Here is a 13,391-nt window from a genome sequence, read left to right as displayed (position 1 = left end):
TTAGAACACAAATGTGAGAAGGCCGGTGCTTGGGCAGCTCTGCGGGGCTGTGTTTTGTTGCGGGAGCCCTGGATGTATGCTCAGCCCCTGTGCCTCTCAGAGGGCTGGGGGCCCCACATACAGATACCTTGCTCCGATGTGCCTGGATAAGCACTGAGGGTGGGTTTTAGGGACCGACTGGGGAGAGATGCACGTGGGGTCTGAGTCGACCGTCTGTGGGGCACTCTGGTCATGCCCAGCATCCATTTGTGCAGCACAAACTTTTTCTCTGGGACTGTCCGCCCCCCAGGTTCTTGTGGTATCGTAAAGACGACCACAGTTTCGAGATGTAGGAGTGAAATGGACCGAGGCTAACCCAGTGAAGTTTGCGGCTGGGTTAAGGAGTGAGTCAGGGAGATGCGTGTTTTCTCCATCATGACTGGGAGAGGAGTGCTCATTTGCCGGGAGGTGAGGGTGACTGTGCACCTCAGCCGCCAGCAGGAGCACCAGAGAAGCCCTGCTCCAGCCCTGCTGACGTCTGGGCCTGGGCCACCAGCCGGTGCAGTGAGCCTGGACCCCAGGAGTGCCTTTTCCAATCCTGACAGACAGCTGCTTAATGTGGGACATTGCTTTACTTTACGAGTTGAAAACGCCACCCTAGCAGCACGGAGCACCTCCCAGGGGCTAAACCCTGTATCATGACTGAATGCGCCCATGTCAATGAATTCTAACATCTAACTCTACATTCTGCCTCCCCTGAATCCAACGTTCTTTGGATCTAGTTCTGCATTTACCCCTGGCTCATGCTGGTGCATGCATTTTGGTCCTGAAGCTCCTTGGCCGACTGTCTCTTCCTCAGTTTTTAGCCTCAGCACTTCTCCAGCTTGATGATGCTGACCTGGAGGAGCTGAGCTGGAGGTGGGTGGCAGGCGTGTCGCCTTGCAGAGGTCTCTGCAGTGTCTTCAAGCACAGAAACAGCATTTGTCCTTAACAGACAGAAATGTGACACCTCTTCAGGCCCAGCAGATTTAGAGGAATCTGGGATTCAAGATTTTTGAGTGCATTCATTCAGATGGCCCCATCGCAAGCCTCTCTTCTTCCCAGTCAGGGCCTCTCTTCTTCCCAGTCAGGGTCCAGAGCTTGGAACAGCACCTTCCGAGGCCGAGCACCCGAACCTGGAACAACACCTTCTGAGGCCAAGCACCTGGCCTTCTCTGGAGCTCTGCCTTCTACACGGTTAAGTCCTGGCCCTGATCCAGTGTTTTGGTTTTCCTCTGGTCACAGGAGATGAGTGTCTTATGTGGCACTGAGGAGGCCCGTTAGCGTGCCACCCTTTTGTTTCAGGTGGTGATCTTTTCATTATCTTGCCCTCAACACGAGCCACCTGATTCCATAGTCCATGTATCTGTGACTTTCCCGAACTCTCCAGCACCCGAGATCCTGCCGCTGCCAGTGCATTTCCTTCCAAGGGGCTCCCGTCCTGGCTGCCACTGCTGCAGTCTGGAGATTCACTCCTGACCCCAGCTGTCGCCTGGAAACAAACACCAAAGCGAGATCCGCGTTGAGTTTATCAGCAGGCCTGTGAGGGTGGAGGGATGGCAGAGAAGCAGCTTTGTGGCTGGGCTGCCACAGAGGACTCCACTGGTCCTCGGAGAAACACAGGAGCCGGCTTGCTTCCAGTGGCTCCAAACGGAAGCATAGTCTCCGTCGTAAAGCAGGGGTGTGGATGGCGTCCACAGCACCCACTGCAGACGCCACCCAGGGCCAGCGCTAGACGCAGAGGCTCTGGGTTGGAACCAGGGGTGCCGCCTTAACCTCCTGTTCTGCCCCAGTGAGCACCAGGCTTGCAAGGGCTGAGGATGAGAGAGGCCCCTGTGGCTGCAGGCTCCCAGCAGTCAGGGGAAGAAAGGCCATTCATTCTTTCAACGCATGGAACTGCTTTTTAGGAAGTGAAGGTAAGCAGTGGAAAAAAATAGGCCTCTATCTTCATGAAGCTCCTGTTCCTCTCCATGCAGTGTGTGTGTGTTTGTGTATGTTCACGTAGGTGTGTGTATGTATGTTTAGTGTGTATGTCTGTGCATGTGTATGGGTAGTATATGTGTGTGCTGTCTGTGTTGTGTGTATATGAACATATGTGTTCATGTGTATATGTGGTGTGTGTATGTAGGGTGTGTGTATATGTGTGTATATGTATGTGTGTACACGTGTGTAGTATGTGTGTGGTGTCTGTGTGTGGTGTCTATGTGTATGTATATGTATATGTAGTGTATGTGTGGTATATGTATGTGTGTATATATGTGTAGGGTGTGTGTGTGGCACTGGGTGCAATGAAGTTTTGCAACATAGAGGAGGGAGTGTAGTCTCAGTTCATATACACACCTACAGTTCATACACACACACAAACATACTCCTCAGAGAGGAGGTCAGGGAGGAGGAGACCTCGAGACAGAAGAAAGGGAGGTAAGGGTGGTACCTGCCCATGCTGGGGTCTGCAGGGGGACTGGGGGGGGACCTGCCCATGCCGGGGTCTGCAGGGGGACTTGGGGGGGGACCTGCCCATGCTGGGGTCTGCAAGGGGACTTGGGGGGGGACCTGCCCATGCCGGGGTCTGCAGGGGGACTTGGGGGGGGGACCTGCTCATGCCGGGGTCTGCAGGGGGACTGGGGGGGGACCTGCTCATGCCGGGGTCTGCAGGGGGACTGGGGGGGGACCTGCCCATGCCGGGGTCTGCAGGGGAACTGGGGGGGGACCTGCCCATGCCGGGGTCTGCAGGGGGACTTGGGGGGGGGACCTGCCCATGCCGGGGTCTGCAGGGGGACTGGGGGGGGACCTGCCCATGCCGGGGTCTGCAGGGGACTGGGGGGGGACCTGCCCATGCTGGGGTCTGCAGGGGGACTTGGGGGGGGGACCTGCTCATGCTGGGGTCTGCAGGGGGACTGGGGGGGGACCTGCTCATGCTGGGGTCTGCAGGGGGACTGGGTGGGGGAGACCTGCCGGTGCCGGGGTCTGCAGGGGGACTGGGGGGGGACCTGCCCGTGCCGGGGTCTGCAGGGGGACTGGGGGGGGACCTGCCCATGCCGGGGTCTGCAGGGGGACTGGGGGGGACCTGCCCATGCCGGGGTCTGCAGGGGGACTGGGGGGGGAGACCTGCCCATGCCGGGGTCTGCAGGGGGACTGGGGGGGGGAGACCTGCCCATGCCGGGGTCTGCAGGGGGACTGGGGGGGGGGAGACCTGCCCATGCTGGGGTCTGCAGGGGGACTTGGGGGGGGGACCTGCCCATGCCGGAGGTCTGGGGTGGGGGGCTGTGTGTGCGTGTATGTGTCCCCGCCCCCCTCGTGCGTCTGCAGCAGGTGCCTTCGGATCGCATCTCAGGAGCTGGGGCTGGGCGCGGGATTCCTCCCCTGCCAGATCGTTGTACGTGAACTTCTCTTGGCAAAGTTCGTCCGCGAGTCAATCGCTCAGCCTCGCTCAGCGGGCCCGGGCCGCGCCGGCGACCTTCCTTCGTCTCTTCCGCCAGGCAGCCCGCTGGGGTCCCTTCCGCTCAGCGGCCAATCCGCGGGGCGGGGGCGGGGGCCGAGGCCTCGGGGGAAGCCGATCCCTGCGCCCCCCGGGTCTCCGCCACCCGCCAGCGCCGTCCCTGCCAACCCCGCCCCTGCAGGGCCCGGGCCAGTTGGGAGCAGGGGCCGGGCCGCGGGCGGAGCCTCCCGGTCCCCGCCCTCGCCCTCGGCCAACTGGCGGTCTTGCAGGCGGGCGGACCCTCGGCCGCGCTCGGGGCTCCGGCGCCGCCGCTCCTCCTGCTCGGCCTGAGCTGCCCGGGCTCGGCGCGCGCTTGGGGCGAGGCTCGGCGGGCGCGGACGCGCAGCATGGCGGTGGAGGACGAGGGGCTCCGGGTCTTCCAGAGCGTGAAGATCAAGATCGGTGAGTGTCCGCCGGCAGCCACGCGTCCGACCCCCCGGCCCGACCCTGTCCTCTCCCGCGCCCGCCTCCCCTCCGCAGATCCTTGCTGGGGACCCCGGCGGAGACGCCCTCCAGGCGCGGCGCGCTCCCCGGAGAACGGCTGGTCCGGCTCCGCGGCCCCTCCCCACCTCCCCGCCTCCCCGGGCCTCGGGCTGGGTCGAGTCGGCTCCGGGGTAACGCGGCTCCCTGCGCCTCCTCTGCGCCCGGAGCGGCCCCGGTCCCTGGTAGCGGCGGAGGAGGTGGGGTCCCTGCGCCGAGGGACGTCTGTCCGCGTGTGCGCCCGAGCGTGTGCCCCGCGTGTTTGCAGGAGTGCGCGCGCCTGAGGCTGTCTGGGCGCCTGCACTTCAGGTGTCAAATCCACTGACGTCGGGGTCTCGGCATCTCCCTTTCTCCGCTGCGCCCAGAAACTTCCTTTCCGGGGAATGTGGAGGCTCCTTCACGCTTCTCCCCAGGGGCGTGAGGCCCCGGCGCGCTGCTGCTGCTGTGCGCGCGCGTCTGTGCCTGCGTGCGCGCGTGTTTGTGTGTGCTTGTGTTTGTGTGTCCATGTGTGGGCGGTGTGTGTGCGCGTGCGTTTGTGGGTGCATGTGTGGGTGCGTATTTGTGTGTGGATGCATGTGTGCGCGCGTGTGTATTTGTGTGTGGGCGCGTGTGTGTGCGCGCGTTTGTGTGTGTGCATGTGTGCGTGTGTGCTGGTGGGGCGTTCTGGCTGAGGGCTCCCGCGGGGCGGGGAGACCCCGGACCCATCGGCACCACGTCCCTTTCCACTGAGAAGTGGCGGGCGAGCTGGTGGCGACCAGGGCCTGCGAGGCTGCGGTTTTTCTCTGGGCTTCAGCAGCTTCTGAAGTGGGCTCCCGGAGGCGTTTCCGGAGAGGAGGCTGTGTCTGGACTTCTGGTTTATCTGGAGGGATCTGCTTTTCCCTGGTTGTTTTATCTTGGGAGAGTGATGTGGAAGTCCTCCCCCTCCCCCAGAGCAAGACCGTTTCCTGGAGTGACTGTTCCATATTCATGCCATGAGTGTGCTGGACCACAGCGCGGTTCAGGCTGGAGAGGCTTCCAGGGCCTGCAGTGTCGCGGTCCCCACGGTCCTTCTCCCCCACTGAGCCGCACTTCGCAGCCGGCCTCTTCCCGTGTGAAGAGGCCTCCGGGAACGGGCTGAGTGTCAGTTGTTGATGACATTTGATGCTGCCGGAGGCATTCCAGCTCCCCTAAACCAGCGGGCTGTTTCCTGTCGGCTTTATTTTGGTTTGCGGATCATCGCTGAGACACTGTCTTGATATTTGGCCCAGAAGCGCTGCAGCTAGGATGTGGCAGCACTTCCGCTTTGAGTAGTCCAGAGAGGAGGGATTTCTTTTGTTAATGTGGTTTAAATCCGCTGTCACTTTCATACAAGAAAGCCAGAGCTGGCGCTCCCTGAAGTGCCTGAGGTCGCCTTGCCTGGGTGGGGAAAGGTCGCGGCCCGTGGGGGTCAGTTTGCTGCTCTTTCCTTCAGCCAAGGCTGCTTGGCTCAGCCAGCGAGTCTGAGGAGTGTGAGAAGCACTGGGCTTCCTCAGTCACGGGGGCAGGAGGGCTGGAGGTGGGTGCCCCTGTGGGGCAGTGCCAGGTCTCCAGGCAGCAGGCAGAGGCGGCCTGGGGCTTTGCGGCTCGGGGGTGGGGGGCCCACAGCCGGCACAGCATGCTCGCTGTGTACTCCAGGAAGGGCTACACTTCAGGCCACGGCAGGACTTTACAGAAGGCATGGGAAGTAGAACAGGAGGGCGAGGGAAGACCAGAGTCTCAGACCAGATACTCAGACCCTGAGTCTCCCAGAAGGCAGCTTCACCGGCCTGCGGGCACTCGGCCCCACTTCCGACAGGCGTGGGGGTCAGGCACCCTGGAGGATCCCTCGGAGAGAAGGAGGTTTGGAGATGCCACAACTTGGTCAGGCTCTGTGCTCCACTTTAAACAAGCCAGTGAAACCCTGGCTCAGCTGAGGCTTAGGCTGCTAATCCCACGTGGGGCCTGGATATCATCTGAACCTTTGACCCTCCCAGGGGCAGCAGCAGTGAGGACGGGTAGAGAGGCCCAAATGCCAGCTGCCCGACTCTCTGGATGTGGCTCCAGCAAGAAGTCCCCGTTTCCTCTCCCCTCCAGAGGTCACCTGCAGGGCTGGCTGCCTGAGGGGTATCTGTGCCCCAAGTAGCTGGGGAGACAGGGCACCTCCTGCATTTGAGCAGAGATGCAGTCTGGGCTGGAGACCCTGAGGGTGACCTGTGGGTGCGCTGGTTTGGGGTTAGTCTCATGTAACTGTGCTGCTGGCCTGATACCCCGGGGCTCCAGCAGAAAGCCCATCTGTAGAAGCGAAGTGGAGGATGACCCTGAGCGGCGCTGGTGCCAGGGGGCCACTGAGCCCCTCAGGCTCTTTCTTTAATCCACATTCATGGCCAACCTTGGCTCTGACTTGCCCTGCCTGAGTCCCTGGTCTTGAAGGCTCAGACAAGATGGTGCCCCTGTGGTTGATTTGAGGGCCCCTCGCTGTCATTCACCTCTGAGCCTTGTCTCCAGGAGCGCTGGATTTGCCCATGAGTCTGCCAGTGACTTGCTGCATGACCCAGGGCCCGTGTCTTCCCCTTCATAACCTCATTTTTCCGTTTGCAAAAGCCAGGCAATTATTGTCTACTACATCCGGTGGGAACGTACAAGGCAGTGTTGTTCAGGGTTAAGTTAACACCCTGCCCCCTCACTCCCAGAACAAGAATTGTCCCTAAAGTTATACCATAAGCAATTCTGCTACTACTCTTACTAAGAAAAAAAGCCAGCACATTTCTGGGGGGATTGGGAGCTTTTTTTAAGGTATAGGGGCATTGGCCATTTAAATTCTTAAATAGCTTTGAAATGTGTGGTGGTGTGTGGCCTCATTCAGACGTTGACATTGGGAAAAATGGAAAGAATCTCTTCCTCCTTTCCCCCTTCCTCTTTCTTTGTCCTTCCAGCTCTTGCAGGTGAGGTAATAAGAGGAGAGCGCCACGTAGAAGTGAGGTGCTTTGGTGGTAACAATTTGGAGTCTTTGTCTTGAAGAATCTGGCTTTCTGCATTTCAGTTTTGTGGAATCATTTTGGATATGTCCTTCTGTGCACTTAAACATCTTAAACACTGTGTCTTTTGAAACAGTCATTAACCTTTCACAGTAGAGTCTGTGTATCATGCATGACTGAGCCACACTTCCTATGCGATCGCTGCTTTGAGGAAGCCTGTGCTTCGGACTTTCCATGAGTCAGGGACCCACAGGGAGGGCACTTCCGCCACGGCCACGGCGTTGTTTTGGGGCCCCCGCCCCCAAGGCGTGCAGTGCCTCCTCCCCTCGCAGTGATGTCTTCCGTTTCCACAATACTTACTGCTTGTTTTTAAATGTGGCGCCTTATCTTGATACATGTGTTCAATAAAGAGCAACACACAAGGTGTTTCTCTCAATCTGTTACAGAAAAAAAAAAAGCCAGCCCCGCGGTCCAGGGCGGGAAAGGCTCTCGCACCGCGGTGACCCTGCCGTCGAGCTGGAGGCGGTCAGCGTCCGGGAATGCCGTCCGTGGGAGGCCGGGCCTGCCGTGGGCTCCCCGCTGGGGCTTCCTGTGGCTCTCTGGTCGCTCCCTTCTTTCTCCTCTGGGCTCAGTGCCTGTGGCTCCGCTGGGCTCTTGCTCCCTTCCTGTGAGGCTGGAGCTTGTCCGTGAAGAAGACCCACGGCCGGTCTGGCCCAACATTGAACCGCTGGTGCCTGCAGGCCTGTGGGGCAGTGAGGGCCAGGGGCTGCCGGCCTCCAGCCCCAGCTATCCCTCTCCTGATCACAAACAGAATCCCACCTGAAGCAGGAGGAGGTGGCACCGGGTGAGAATAGGGAGAATGACAAGTGGGGTGCCTGGAGGGTCCCCTGGACTGTGCCTCCCTGGCCCCAGCTCCTGGGCTAGAAGGTAAGGGCTCCGGGCCCAGCTCTGCTAGAAGTGGCAGCTGACACTCTCAGCCTGATGGACTCCCTCACGGGAGGTGGAGGCCGCTGGTCACAGGGCTGTTACAGGCATCAAATTAGGTGATGGTCTGTTTAATAAGAGAAAGTAGCAACAGTGTCTTCAGAGGGCTAGGGCTCACTCAGGTAAGAGAAGTGTTTTGTGAAGGTGAGGGAGGGATACTGGCCACGCCGTGGCTTTCCCCGTGTCTGTCTGACAGTGTAAGGAGGGGCTGTGTGGCCACACATGGGCCTTGGCATCAGAGATCCTAGATTCCCCTAATGCTAAAATTAACTTGGATATTTTATTAACCGAGCTCAGCTAAGCTGCCTGTGCTATTTTTAACCCCTGAGGACGAAGGTGCAGGGCCTGGCTGCACCTGGGAAACAGCAGGGGCTCCGGCAGGGGCAGGTTCAGCCTGGGGCCCGGGCCTTGCCTGGAAAGGGGAGTGGGTTTCTTGTGCGTGTGTGGGTGTGGAGGCTGGATGCAGATGCTAAGGGCGTCGTTTCCATGTATTATCTCATTTTATCTAAACTCTGGAAACTCCACGGCACTGAGGTGGAGAAAGGGAGACCCACGGATTTATCTGGGCCCAAGCACCCCAGCTCCACGGGCTCCTGGGATCCGAGTTCTTCTCCTCACCACTTAGTATTGTCCATTAATTTTTTTTTCTTTGAGACTGGGCCTCACTGTGTTGCCCAGGCTGGTCTCCAACTCTCCAACTCCAGGACTCAAGGGATCTTCCTGCTTCAACTTCCTGAGTAGCTGGGACACAGGTGCTCACCACTGCAGCCTGCCTGTCAGTTTGGAGAGCTGTTTCTTCTCTGTGATCTTGGATTGGAATGGGGGGAATCATGGAGGGCTGGAGAACAGAGAGACTTGTTGGTGACCTTAGGGACACGAGGCAGGCAGTGTTCAGGCAGGGAAGGAAGGAAGGGGCTGCTGGTCTGTGTGGGTGGACAGTGGCCTGGGAGGCCCAAGACACAGGGTGTGCTGGGAAGACAGTTTGGAGATGCAGAGGTGATCCTTTAAGCAGGGCCACAGCCACCCATCCAGCCTTCAGGTGTGTGAGCAAATGGTGCCTGGCAGGTGGACTCAGCCAGGGTGCTGGACTGGTGGGCAGAGTGTGGACCCCGGAGGCAGCCCTGGGGGCGTCATTCCTGGAAGGGAATCTGGCATTGGTGGAAAACACTTTGACTTGCTTCTTTGGAGCTAATGGAAGCAAATGAGGCATTTGGAGCTAAGGAGCGTGTGAACCGCGCAGGCGCAGAGTGGATGAGCGGCGTCTCCCTGAGGCTGTGGCACCGTGTTTGCAGGTGGCGCGTCATGTTTTAAACATAGACGTGTGTGTGTTTAGAAAGGAGGTGGACGTATTGGCTGGAAACAGCCACAAGCAAAGTGATGGCTGCTAAGGTTTTGAAAGTGAAGGCTGCTGAGCGATGGTGGGAGGGGCTTGGTGAGGAGGAGAGCTCCTGGGGGCCCTCGGGGGAGACGTGGACGTAGCGAACCCACTTGGAATCAGACACCCGAGACTGCGTGCTGGCCACGTTTCTTGACAATTCTTTGATTTTAGATGACCCCTAACCTCTCTCTGCCTTGGTTTCTTGGTTTGTGAAAGTGGAGGCCAAGGCCTTCTTTTGCAGAGATTAATGGGACTTAGATGCACCAGGCACTTCCCCCGCTCAGATCTTCATAGATGGGAGGTATTATTCTAGCAGAATTTGAAGCTATCTGTTCGTCTGTAATGAACTGGACTTCTATGTAAGCAAATATATAATTTGAAAAAGAGCTACACTTTAATAAGTAGGAGGGTGTTGAGATCCGGGAGAGCTCACACTCTGGAGAGGTGGCTTTTGTTTTTGGTTTTGGCTGTCATCTGGGTGTCTGGGAGGGATGGCTTTCAACTTGCTCCTGAAGAGAGAGGTGGCTTTGGTTTTGGCTGTCATCTTGGAGGGGGTCTGGGAGGGGTAGCTTTGAACTTGCCCCTGAAGAGAGAGTGAGGTCTCAGGAAGGGAAGGAATCATTTGGGTTGGGCTGGTGTTATGAGATGCACGGCCTGGCCTTTGAGGGGCCCAGATAAGTTAGCTGGAGGGGCCAGTGGGACGTGTGGATGGGCCTCTGGCCGATGGGTTGACAGAAGGGGCCACACGGGGTCCCGTGGGGATGTGGTGTCATGCCCCGCAGGTGCCGGTACCTCTGGAGGGTGCGAGGTTGGACAGCAGGTGCCGGTACCTCTGGAGGGTGCGAGGTTGGACAGCAGGTGCCGGTACCTCTGGAGGGTGCGAGGTTGGACAGCAGGTGCCGGTACCTCTGGAGGGTGCGAGGTTGGACAGCAGGTGCCGGTACCTCTGGAGGGTGCGAGGTTGGGCAGCAGGTGCCGGTACCTCTGGAGGGTGCGAGGTTGGGCAGCAGGTGCCGGTACCTCTGGAGGGTGCGAGGTTGGGCAGCAGGTGCCGGTACCTCTGGAGGGTGCGAGGTTGGGCAGCAGGTGCCGGTACCTCTGGAGGGTGCGAGGTTGGGCAGCAGGTGCCGGTACCTCTGGAGGGTGCGAGGTTGGACAGCCGTTGTGGAACTGTGGTGGGGGTCGGGGAGGCAGCTCACTGAGCGCGTCTCGTCTTACGCAGCCGCGGGTCAGAGCAGGGGTCTGTGTTCACGCAGGAAAGGAGGGGCTTGCCGTGCAACCAGAGCTTCTAGCTTTGAACCATAGGTGAAGGCGATGAACAGACGTGTCTACTGCAGCAGCACCTGTGGCCAGTGGCTGAGTGAGCAAATAGCAAACAGTAGAAGCAATGTTGAGGAGTTGGGGTCTCCCCACCAATCTCCTGTCGAACTGTCACCCCGTCGTTGGAAGTGGGGCCTGGTGGGAAGCGACTGGATCTTGAGGGTGGATTTATATGAACAGCTCAGCGCTATCCCCTTGGTGCTGTTCTCACGATAGTGAGTGAGTTCTCGTGAGATCCGGTGGCACACCTCCCACCTCGCGCTCTTGCCCCCGCTCTCGCCGTGTGAGACACCTGCTCCCCCTTCACCTTCTGCCATGACTGGAAGCTTCCCGAGGCCTCCCCAGAAGCAGATGCCTCCATACTTCCTGTACGGCTTGCAGCACCGTGACCAATAAACCTCGTTTATTTTGAATTACCCAGTCTCAGGTGTTTCTTTATAGCAATGCAAGAACAGCCCAATGAGTAATCGCCAACTGAAACGGTGATTATGTCATGTGCATCCACATGTGGGCTGCTCTGTGGCTTTCAAGGAACATATTAAGCCCAGGCCAAACCACATGACTCGCAGGAAGTTCCACGGCATAAGATTCAAAAGAAGCAAAATGAGAGCGCCCAACACCACCCCCTAGAAGAATGATAAACACAGATCAGATGAGTGTGCGCAGATCAGGGATAAGACCCACACAGCCTGCTAATTGGATTACCTGTGGGATGGCAGGAGTGCTGTGGTAGGAAGAGAGACAGGAATACAAGGCCTTCCGTAGCAGCAAGTATATGTCTATTATGCATCAATGTGCAACTATGTATACGGTGGGTGAGTGAGTGAAGAACAAAGGCGGAGCTTAGAAATCATCCCTTCACAGATTGCAAGAACAGTGTCGGCTGTGGAGGACGCCAAGGCCGAGAAAGAAAATAACTTGCCTTCATTCAAGACAATGTGCTGTGTGGGAAATGCATGTGGACAGGTGAAGGAGCGGCTCCGTCAGGCCGCAGCGGGCGTCCAGCAGTGACAGGCGGAGTGAGTTGTGGCTGGCCCCTGAGAGGCCCCTGACAGGTTTTGGGGCTCCAGCCTTTGTGTCTGGGAGGCTCTGGCACAGGTGAAGGGGAACTGAGGGTTACGTCACCTGTGACAGATGGTTCAGGGTCTCTCTGGGTGTGACGCAGAGTCCAAAGTGAACAGTTACAAACGTTCAAGCTTTGCTGTAGATATGAGTTTCAGAGTCACCGAGGTGCCCGGGAACGCCCTCGTCGGGCCTGGATCCCCGGAAGTGAGTTTCCCCATGGGTTATTGGTCAAACGGCATCAGAGTGTCTGGGAGATTTTGTTTTTCTGTGAGTATTTTCTCAAAAATAGTAGTTCCTTGTTCTATGAGTGTCTGAAAATATTAGGTGTGTTTCTGCAGACAGGGCTGGATTCCTGGGGCTGTAGCTCTAGCCACCCTGAAATTTGGCATTCTTAGTTTTCGTTTTCAAATAAGCTTGAATCCCACATTTGGAACAATCACCCAAATTTAAGTCTCAGTTTTGTTCCTTCTGGGGACAGTCAGTGCCCTGCTGGTATCACAACACAGCCAGTAACGGCTGCAGCGCTGACCTGCGTGTCCTGGGTCCCGAGAGACACCGTGCCGGGCTTCTGGGGGCTGGGCCGGGGGGCTGGGTCAGGAGACAGGAGCCGCACTGGGGACCGAAACCGGTGCCTTGACCTGGAATTGATCGAGGAACGACTCCTGCACCTGTTCTTTCCTCTTTACATTGTTTCTTTTATGTTATCCGAATAATTTCCAACCTGTAAAGAATCATCTGTCTTGGCCCTGACTGCCCATAGGATAAAATTCCAGAGGTTGGTAAGAGGTCTGAGTCTTTCCTAGACACCGTGGGGATCCTTTTTCTGACCACCGACCAGACAGATGTCCACTTAGGACCTGCATGGGGGCCGTGGCTCCCAGCCCCGCATGGCCCACCCCGTGGGTGCCTCCCTCGCCCCAGGATGGGCCAGAGTCCTCAGCCCCTTGCTGAGAGCCACCCTCCCTGCCTGGTGCGCATGGCGTGCCCAGGGTAGGACGGAGGATTCTCTGGGATGCCTGACAAAGCCTAAGGGTGATTGTTGTTGTGTCTTCCTGGAGCTTGGTTTTTGGACGTCATCGTCTCCAAGCTGCAGCCCGGGTCTGAACTGGGCGCGATAGACCCAGGCTGGCTGTTCGTGTGGCGTTGGAGCCAGTTCCCATTTCTGCGTTAGGTTTCATTCCTGGCCTTTTCCCTGCTTTGAGGGGCTGCACAGAGTACCTGAGGGCCCTTGCGTGCACCCCTAAATCTTCTCTTTAGCTGTGTTCCTTCTGAAGGAAAAGGTTTCACTCTTCTTTTCAGCTCTGGAGATTTCTTGTTTTGGTTCCAAACCCTCGAGGTGCTGGAGCAGCTAGTTTGCCTTGATCTTGTCACTTCTGTGTTTTCTCTTCCCCAGAGCAGCCATTGCTCTGGGAGCCTGAGGACCAGCCTCAGCCCATGGCCCCTGCTGGGGCGGCCACCTCGGCGTCCGGTGGTGACTGTGCAGGACACATGTTTCCGGCCCCCCTCCTCTGAGGCTCCAGGAGCAAAGTGCTGTCCCCAAAGCCATGCCGGCAGCAGGAGCGTCTCCATGCCGGGCACGCACCGAAGGTGTGTCCAGGGTGTAGGGACCCAGGAAGGTTGTCTTGTGGTGGACTCTGATGACCACAGCCCAGGCGCTTTTGTGGCTCGTGGAATCGCTTCCTCAGAAAGGAGGCTG

General features: G+C 58.2%; 1 protein-coding gene and 1 long non-coding RNA gene across 5 annotated transcripts in view, besides 11 other annotated features; both read left to right on the top strand.

The window, feature by feature from the left end:
* Positions 1,189–1,689: an enhancer, noted in NCBI's record as "H3K4me1 hESC enhancer chr13:114900119-114900619 (GRCh37/hg19 assembly coordinates)". NCBI's record gives its function as "activates a minimal SCP1, AML or CMV promoter by ChIP-STARR-seq in naive H9 embryonic stem cells {active_cell/tissue: H9 hESC(naive)}" and the evidence as "EXISTENCE:reporter gene assay evidence [ECO:0000049][PMID:30033119]".
* Positions 1,189–1,698: a biological region, named in NCBI's record as "H3K4me1 hESC enhancer GRCh37_chr13:114900119-114900619".
* Positions 1,519–1,698: an enhancer, noted in NCBI's record as "active region_8057". NCBI's record gives its function as "activates an Ori minimal core promoter by ATAC-STARR-seq in GM12878 lymphoblastoid cells {active_cell/tissue: GM12878}" and the evidence as "EXISTENCE:reporter gene assay evidence [ECO:0000049][PMID:35858748]".
* Positions 3,405–3,504: a silencer, noted in NCBI's record as "silent region_5557". NCBI's record gives its function as "represses an Ori minimal core promoter by ATAC-STARR-seq in GM12878 lymphoblastoid cells {active_cell/tissue: GM12878}" and the evidence as "EXISTENCE:reporter gene assay evidence [ECO:0000049][PMID:35858748]".
* Positions 3,535–4,194: a silencer, noted in NCBI's record as "silent region_5556". NCBI's record gives its function as "represses an Ori minimal core promoter by ATAC-STARR-seq in GM12878 lymphoblastoid cells {active_cell/tissue: GM12878}" and the evidence as "EXISTENCE:reporter gene assay evidence [ECO:0000049][PMID:35858748]".
* Positions 3,535–4,614: a biological region, named in NCBI's record as "H3K27ac-H3K4me1 hESC enhancer GRCh37_chr13:114897194-114897821".
* RASA3 (RAS p21 protein activator 3) overlaps positions 3,710–13,391 on the top strand; it is a 154,841-nt gene continuing 145,159 nt past the window's right edge. For all 4 annotated transcript variants that reach the window (XM_047430157.1, NM_007368.4, NM_001320821.2 and 1 more), the window contains exon 1: positions 3,710–3,898. Coding sequence is in view for 1 of the 4 variants with exons in the window: in NM_007368.4 (NP_031394.2) it covers positions 3,844–3,898 (55 nt within the window). In the remaining 3 variants the exon portion in view is untranslated. The remainder of the gene's footprint in view (positions 3,899–13,391) is intronic.
* Positions 3,987–4,614: an enhancer, noted in NCBI's record as "H3K27ac-H3K4me1 hESC enhancer chr13:114897194-114897821 (GRCh37/hg19 assembly coordinates)". NCBI's record gives its function as "activates a minimal SCP1, AML or CMV promoter by ChIP-STARR-seq in primed H9 embryonic stem cells {active_cell/tissue: H9 hESC(primed)}" and the evidence as "EXISTENCE:reporter gene assay evidence [ECO:0000049][PMID:30033119]".
* Positions 4,785–5,284: an enhancer, noted in NCBI's record as "active region_8056". NCBI's record gives its function as "activates an Ori minimal core promoter by ATAC-STARR-seq in GM12878 lymphoblastoid cells {active_cell/tissue: GM12878}" and the evidence as "EXISTENCE:reporter gene assay evidence [ECO:0000049][PMID:35858748]".
* On the top strand, positions 5,330–11,046 carry LOC107987192 (uncharacterized). The gene is made up of 2 exons (XR_001750050.2): positions 5,330–10,092; positions 10,131–11,046. It is a non-coding gene; the product is annotated as an uncharacterized LOC107987192 (long non-coding RNA).
* Positions 5,575–5,834: an enhancer, noted in NCBI's record as "active region_8055". NCBI's record gives its function as "activates an Ori minimal core promoter by ATAC-STARR-seq in GM12878 lymphoblastoid cells {active_cell/tissue: GM12878}" and the evidence as "EXISTENCE:reporter gene assay evidence [ECO:0000049][PMID:35858748]".
* Positions 5,873–6,502: an enhancer, noted in NCBI's record as "H3K27ac-H3K4me1 hESC enhancer chr13:114895306-114895935 (GRCh37/hg19 assembly coordinates)". NCBI's record gives its function as "activates a minimal SCP1, AML or CMV promoter by ChIP-STARR-seq in naive H9 embryonic stem cells {active_cell/tissue: H9 hESC(naive)}" and the evidence as "EXISTENCE:reporter gene assay evidence [ECO:0000049][PMID:30033119]".
* Positions 8,611–9,112: an enhancer, noted in NCBI's record as "H3K4me1 hESC enhancer chr13:114892696-114893197 (GRCh37/hg19 assembly coordinates)". NCBI's record gives its function as "activates a minimal SCP1, AML or CMV promoter by ChIP-STARR-seq in naive H9 embryonic stem cells {active_cell/tissue: H9 hESC(naive)}" and the evidence as "EXISTENCE:reporter gene assay evidence [ECO:0000049][PMID:30033119]".

The sequence above is a fragment of the Homo sapiens genome, chromosome 13 (genome assembly GCF_000001405.40).
Source record: "Homo sapiens chromosome 13, GRCh38.p14 Primary Assembly".
Lineage (NCBI taxonomy): Eukaryota > Metazoa > Chordata > Mammalia > Primates > Hominidae > Homo > Homo sapiens.
The sequence above is the reverse complement of the archived record's forward strand: the minus strand, read 5'-3'. Positions and strand labels throughout refer to the sequence as shown.